We start from the raw sequence: 6559 nt of genomic DNA on the forward strand, positions 1-6559 counted from the left end.
AAAAATTAGCCAGGGCGGGCGCGGTGGCTCAAGCCTGTAATCCCAGCACTTTGGGAGGCCGAGGCGGGCGGATCACCTGAGGTCGGGAGTTTGAGACCAGTCTGACCAACATGGAGAAACCCCGTCTCTACTAAAAATTCAAAATTAGCCAGGCGTGGTGGCGCATGCCTGTAATCCCAGCTACTCAGGAGGTTGAGGCAGGAGAATCGCTTGAACCGGGAAGTGGAGGTTGCAGTGAGCTGAGATCACACCATTGCGCTCCAGCCTGGGCAACAAGAGTGAAACACTGTCTCAAAAAAAAAAAAAAAAAGTGAGGTGCAAATCCTACTTTTGCACCTACTGCTCTTTCCTCGCCCTAGAAATTTCCACAGGAGCACAGTCATCAACCTACAGAATGTTAACACCAAGGGGACTTTCAAGATCTGGTCACCTGACCAAATACCAGAGAGGGTAACCGCTTTGCCCAAGGTCACACTGCTGGCTGGGGCAGGGCTGGGACTAGAGTAGCTCTGGAAAATGGGAACAAGAATAGAACCTATCTCAATCTTGTTGCAGGGAGTATGTTACATGCTTAGCACATTGCTTGGCACATAATAAACTCTCATCGAATAGGAGCTGTTGCTGTTATCGTTGCTATTATCATCATCATCATCATCACAGGTGTCCATCCTTGCCTCCAAGTTCCTTGCCTCCTGATCCTCCCATCCCCCAGTGCTATTCTCCACTATTTCCTCCCTTTCCTCCCAATCCATGATTTCCTCCCTTCTCCCCTCCCAATTCATGTTTGGCCCACTGCAGTCAGCGTCCACCACCACCAGTGCCTGGAACCTTCCAGGCTGAGGTCACCAGGGACCTCCTCCTTGTAGAACCCTTCCTTCCCTCGACCTCTCAATGGCATGTGACCCTAGCACTGCTTCCTCCTTAAATGTCCTTGACTTCTATAACATAAACTCTCCTGCTGCTCAGGACATCCGGCTCTCCCTCTCACCCTCTCTGCTAATCCAGACACAAATAGTCAACTGCCTACTGCCATAGGCACCCAACGTCAGCACATCCAAAGCAGTTTGTTACCAGCTCCATCACCCTGCCCCGCTCCTGGGTTCTACTGTTCAGTGTACAGATAGCCCCGTCCACCAAATACCCTAGGCTGCACCAGGCAAGACAGGGGAGGACTCCCAGAGGTACAGCCTAGGGGATGGATTTGGTGGATGGGGTTCATCTGAACATCCTTCTTAACATCCCACCTTTTTTTTTTTTTGAGATGGAGTCTCGCTCTGTCACCCAGGCTAGAGTGCAGTGGTGTGATCTCAGCTCACTGCAACCTCCGCCTCCTGGGTTCAAGCAATTCTCCTGCCTCAGGAGATTCTCGAGTAGCTGGAATTACAGGCATGCGCCACCACGCCCTGCTAATTTTTGTATTTTTTTTTCTTGAGACGGAGTTTCACTCTTGTCATCCAGGGAGTGCAGTGGCGCGATCTTGGGTCACTATAATCTTTACCTCCCGGTTTCAAGCAATTCTCTGCCTCAGCCTCCCAAGTAGCTGGGATTACAGGCACCTGCCACCATGCCCAGCTAATTTTTGTATTTTTAGTAGAGACGGGGGTTTCACCATCTTGGCCAGGCTGGTCTTGAACTCCTGACCTCGTGATCCACCCGCCTCAGCCTCCCAAAGTGCTGGGATTACAGGCGTGAGCCACCATGCCCGGCCGCCTCTGCGCCTTTGAACATGCTGTTCCCCCTGCCTGGAATGCTCTTCTGCCCCTTAACTGCCTGCAAACTCTCCCTCACCCACTTGGTCCTAGTTCAGGCCCTCCCTGATCCCATAAACTCAGTTACTTCCTCCCTGCAGTATCAGCATCATTCATAGCACTGTCATAGCCCTTTTCATCCTGAAGTTAATAATTCCCTATGTCTGTCACCCCTACTAGCTATCTGTGTACCTACCATGTATCTCCATGTATCTGTTAATACTTTCCTATGTCTGTCATCCCCAGGTGCTATCTGTGTATCTCCTATGGCCAGCCCATGATGATTCAGTGAGTGTCTGCTGAAAGACCGAATAATTAAACTTTTTCAACTTCTGTCCTGATGGTAAGTATAAGAGGAGGGATGAAGATTAGGCTGTAAGGCCAGGCGCAGTGGCTCACACCTGTAATCCCAGCACTTTGGGAGCCTCAAGCAGGGGGATCACGAGGTCAGGAGATCAAGACCATCCTGGCTAACCGGTGAAACCCCGCCTCTACTAAAAATAAAAAAAATTAGCCGTGCGTGGTGGCACGCGCCTGTGGTCGCAGCTACTCGGGAGGCTGAGGCAGGAGAATGGCGTGAACCCAGAAGGCGGAGGTTGCAGTGGGCCGAGATCACATCACTGCACTCCAGCCTGGGTGACACAGCAAGACTCTGTCTCAAAAAAAAAAAAAAAAAAAAAAAAAAAAGATTAGGCTGTAAGAGGAACTGGTAAAGTGGAACACAGCAGGGCAAATGTGCTAGTCAACTGTCATTGCTTACCCTGGAAATTTCCCCAGGAGCGGAGTCATCAACTTACAGAATGTTACCACCAAGGGGACTTTCAAGATCTGGTCACCTGACCAAATACCAGAGACGGTAACTGCTTTGCCCAAGGTCACACTGCTGGTTAGGGGCAGGGCTGGGGCTAGAGTCCACGTAGCTCTGGAAAAAGTTTGGGCAGATGCTATCTCATCCCATGAACTTCTTCCCTTCCTACCCATTCTGTCTCCCCAAAGGAGGTCCCTGATGCCCTAACATGGTCAGGGAACTACCTGGGCTCACTCACAGCTCTTACAGCATTTGCTGGGACCTTGGCCAGGTGGAGTTACCAAAATCCTGTAGACTGGAGGCAGGGGGATCCAACTATCACCATATTAGAGATTGGCAAACTGAGGCAGCTAGCTAACCGCAGAGGGCAAGATTTGATATTGAGTACTGTGTTCCTCCTGTAGAAAGACCTGAGAAGCCCAAACTCCCACATATGCAGAGTCACTATTCACAATAATCATGACTGCTGACTTCCTAATGTCAGGGAAATCCCCTCACTCCCACCAGTTCCTCCTGAAACAGAGCCTCCCTCCATCTTGCACAGGGTGTCTGACTTAGGAAACAAACTGTACACCCACCCTCCTAAGCCACCCAGGCCTACTAGATAGATCACCTCCGAGTCATACCCTTTAATGGGGAAATCACCCTTCTTTGTGCCAGGCACTTGACATCGTCACTGCTCACATCAGCCCTAAGGTTAGTACTACAGTCTGCGATGGGGAAACGGAGGGTCCCAGATAAGTCACTACTAATCCATGGTCAAAGCAAGAAAGTGGCAGGGCTGGGACTCGAACTTAGGTTTGCCTGACTCCAGCGGGTCCCCGCCCAGGCGGGAGGCCCTCCCAGCTGAAGCCTTTCGCTGACTAGATTACCTGGGGGAAAATGACTTAACCTCTTCGAACCCCCAGAAGGTCAGAAGCTTTGCTTTTGGGGGAGAAAATGGTGTGCAAACGAGACGCGAAGGAAACGCAAACCCTCGGGCGTCGGCGCAGCCTCTTCCCCGAGCCTGGGTCTGTCTAATGGCCCAGAGGGAGAGGTCGCACCCCCGACCCCTGGCACCTGCGAAACCAAGCGCCCGGTCGGCTGGCAGAAACGAAACCTCAACACCCTCCAGCCTCCCCCGCTTGGTTCCCGGAACCGGCGAGCCAGGCTTCGCGGAAACTTGCCCGGCGGCAGCCGCCTAGGGCCCCGGGATCGCCCTGACCGCAGCCCGCAGCTCCGGGCCGGGAGGTGCGGGCCGGCGCGGTCGGGCCCGAGCAGCAGCGCGACGCGCGCTTCCGCCCCGCTCGGCTCCGGCGGCGGCCGCGGCGGCCCCACAATCCCCTTCTGGCTCCGGGGACGGGCGGGGCGGGGCGAGCGGGCGGAAATAATTTTCTGTTTGGTCGTCTCTGCCCCAGTCCCTTCGCCGCGGGACGCGCGAGACGGGAGAAGGTGCGGGAAGCGGGAAGCAGGAGCGGGAGCGCGCGGCCCTGGCACGCATAGGGCGGCGGAGAGGGCACGAGCAGGGATTGAGCACCTACTGTGTGCCTTCACGCTTTACAAAAGGATTTTCGTTCGATGTTCACTACAGCCCCTGCCCGGGGGTACTGATGCCCCATTTACAGAGGGACAAGCCGGATTTCGGAGAGGTGAAGTCACTCGCCGAAAGTCGCACCGCCAGGGTCTGCGTGACACCCTAAAGCAGTGTTCAGTTACCCCGGGGAGAGCGCGATGAACTTGAACCACTTGTTGGCTGGTTCCTGCTCTTGCTCGTTTTTTGCGGATCGACACATAGTGGGCGCTCAGGAAAATAAATGTTGGAAGCTTGAGATTGAACTTGACAGCTCGACCCTAGGTACCCGCCACGAATCCAGCCCAGCCCGCGGGGCACCGGGTTTCTCCAGACCTCGCAGGGAACATTTGCGGATGGGCTGGTAGAGGAGGCTCGGACATCCCAGTTCCGCACCCGCACTCGACCAACGCGTGGTAGCGGAACCCCTGTCGTAGCGAGGCACAGACTGGGTTCAAGTCCCGACTCTGCCGATTTCAGCCTGAGTGACTTTGAGCGAGTCACTTTTTCCCGTCGAAACCTCAGTTGCTCCATCCACAAAATGGGAAATATGAACAGCCACCCTAAAACGGTGTGGGGAGGATTAAACGAAACAACGTTCCCAAAACTCTAAACTTACAAATGTTGTCTCCCGTCCATCCCATAAACTTAGGCGACAAACCTGGCGCAGGGTGACCTGAGACAAAGGCTTCCCGGCCCCTGTCTCCAAGTCGTCCATCCCTGGGGCGTAGGCACGTTTTAGTGAGCCCTGTCCGGCGAAACCCGAAACTGCGGCCACCTTGGCAGCGGTGGGCCCCAAAAGGAAATATTCAAATATTCTGAAACTCGTGCATGATTTAGGACTGACATTTTTACGTTTAATTTTCTTGCAGTTTTATTCTTGCTAGTAAAGGTAATTCGTTAGAAACCCTTAAGTGCAGTTTCTCCTCTGTGTCTTGTTTAACTTTTCGTGTTAGCGAAATTCACAAATTTGACCAAGGAACCGGAGCGCGGCCGTCCTCGCCGGGATTCCGGTCATCGCAATAATCTGGCTCTCGGCCCCTACTCCCAGGCACGGAGGTCGAAGAGACGGGCTTCCCCTACACCGCCCTGTGTAGATGTAGCCTCTTCGTCCCGGCAGCCCTCCGAGATTCCCTGTGTCCACCGGAGCGAGGAGAGGTGTGGGGCTGCAGCCCAGAACTCAGCTTCCTGGACCTCCCCAAACTCCCGCCTCTCCGGGATTAAGGGAGTAAATCCCTGACGCCAAAGACCAGGTCAAGGACAAGTTCTCCCCCGCCCTACTCCCCCCTCCTGGGCGGGGATTCATCTCCCTTCCGGATGAAAGGTACTAAAGAGCCGACGGGGGGCCGCGGCGGGCCCCAGGCCCTTGATGTTCCGGTTGAACAGGTGCTGGTGAAAAGGAGGCGGACCCGGCGGAAGAGTCTGCCAGGGGGCAGTGCGCCGAAGGGGAGGCGGCCTCCTCCACCCCCAGTCCCCCGGCCCGTCTTCCCTTCTCCTCTCTGTTTGCCCCTCCCCCGCAGGAAGCGTTCCCGGCCGCGAGGTCTTTGAAGTGTCGTTGAAGCCCCCAGGGCTGCCTTCTCCCCTACGCCACCCGAACTCCCGCTGTGGGGGGCGGGTGACCTTTAGTCCCCACGAGTCGTCCCCCTTTAGGAAGTTTTTGGGGGTCAGATCTCACCCCCCCTTGCCCACACAGGTTGGGAAGAAGACTTTGGGCCGACGCCCCTCACTTCTCCCCCAGACCCAATTGCAGGGACTTTAGTCCTCTGGAGTGCTGCGTGTGAGTTACCTTGTGTGTCTGTGTGCGTGCCTAGAGGTCAAGTGTAACTGGTGTTCGTGAGCACCTCGTGGTTGCGGGTCTCTAACTCTCGTGGGTCTCTAAGCGCACCCGCGGGGCTGGAGCGGAGGTTCGTGTCTCTGGGAGGGTCAGTGGTGTGACTGAAGCTGGGAGTTAGCTCGTGTCTGTGGGTGCCTCGGTGTGTGTCTCTGGGGCTCTGAGTCCCTGTGCGTGCGTGTGTGTCTGTGAACCCGACAGGAAGCTCCCCGAGGGCAGGAATATGTTTTGCTCTCTACTCGATCCCAGCGACTGGCAACGAGCGTTTAATAAATATCTGTTGAATGAATAAATGTCTGCGTGTGAGAGCGTCTACCCTCCAGAGTGGCCTCGGAGGAAAGGGCCCGAGGGCGGCCATCCAAAAAGACCCCCAGACACGGGGTGGGGCGGGGGCGAACGGCCCGCGTCGCTCCCATTCCTCCTAGCGCCCCTTCCCCCGGTCTCCACTCCAAAGTTTCCCTGGGGCTGAAGAATCCACCCAGAGACGAAGACTTGGCGGAGGGGGCTGGAGACTCGGGGACCCGGGGCCCGAGACGGGAGTGCGGGCAGAGGGAGGGCTCGGGAGCGACGACCCAGAGCCGTGAAACGAAAAAGAAAGCAGGCAAAGCAGCACGGAGCGAAAG

The 6559-nt window shown here is 55.6% G+C and overlaps 1 long non-coding RNA gene and 1 other non-coding gene across 2 annotated transcripts, besides 1 other annotated feature; one reads left to right on the top strand and one right to left on the bottom strand.

Moving 5' to 3' along the window:
- Window positions 1-2625: 2625 nt before the first annotated feature.
- LOC105371763 (uncharacterized) lies at window positions 2626-6226 on the top strand. Its single transcript, NR_158157.1, has 2 exons — window positions 2626-3252; window positions 4127-6226. It is a non-coding gene; the product is annotated as an uncharacterized LOC105371763 (long non-coding RNA).
- Window positions 3596-4127: an enhancer, noted in NCBI's record as "H3K27ac-H3K4me1 hESC enhancer chr17:36858367-36858898 (GRCh37/hg19 assembly coordinates)". NCBI's record gives its function as "activates a minimal SCP1, AML or CMV promoter by ChIP-STARR-seq in primed H9 embryonic stem cells {active_cell/tissue: H9 hESC(primed)}" and the evidence as "EXISTENCE:reporter gene assay evidence [ECO:0000049][PMID:30033119]".
- Window positions 3744-3813, bottom strand: MIR4734 (microRNA 4734). The gene has a single exon (NR_039887.1). It is a non-coding gene; the product is annotated as a microRNA 4734 (primary transcript).
- Window positions 6227-6559: the final 333 nt, after the last annotated feature.

Source organism: Homo sapiens, chromosome 17 (genome assembly GCF_000001405.40).
Source record: "Homo sapiens chromosome 17, GRCh38.p14 Primary Assembly".
NCBI classification, from domain to species: Eukaryota; Metazoa; Chordata; class Mammalia; order Primates; family Hominidae; genus Homo; species Homo sapiens.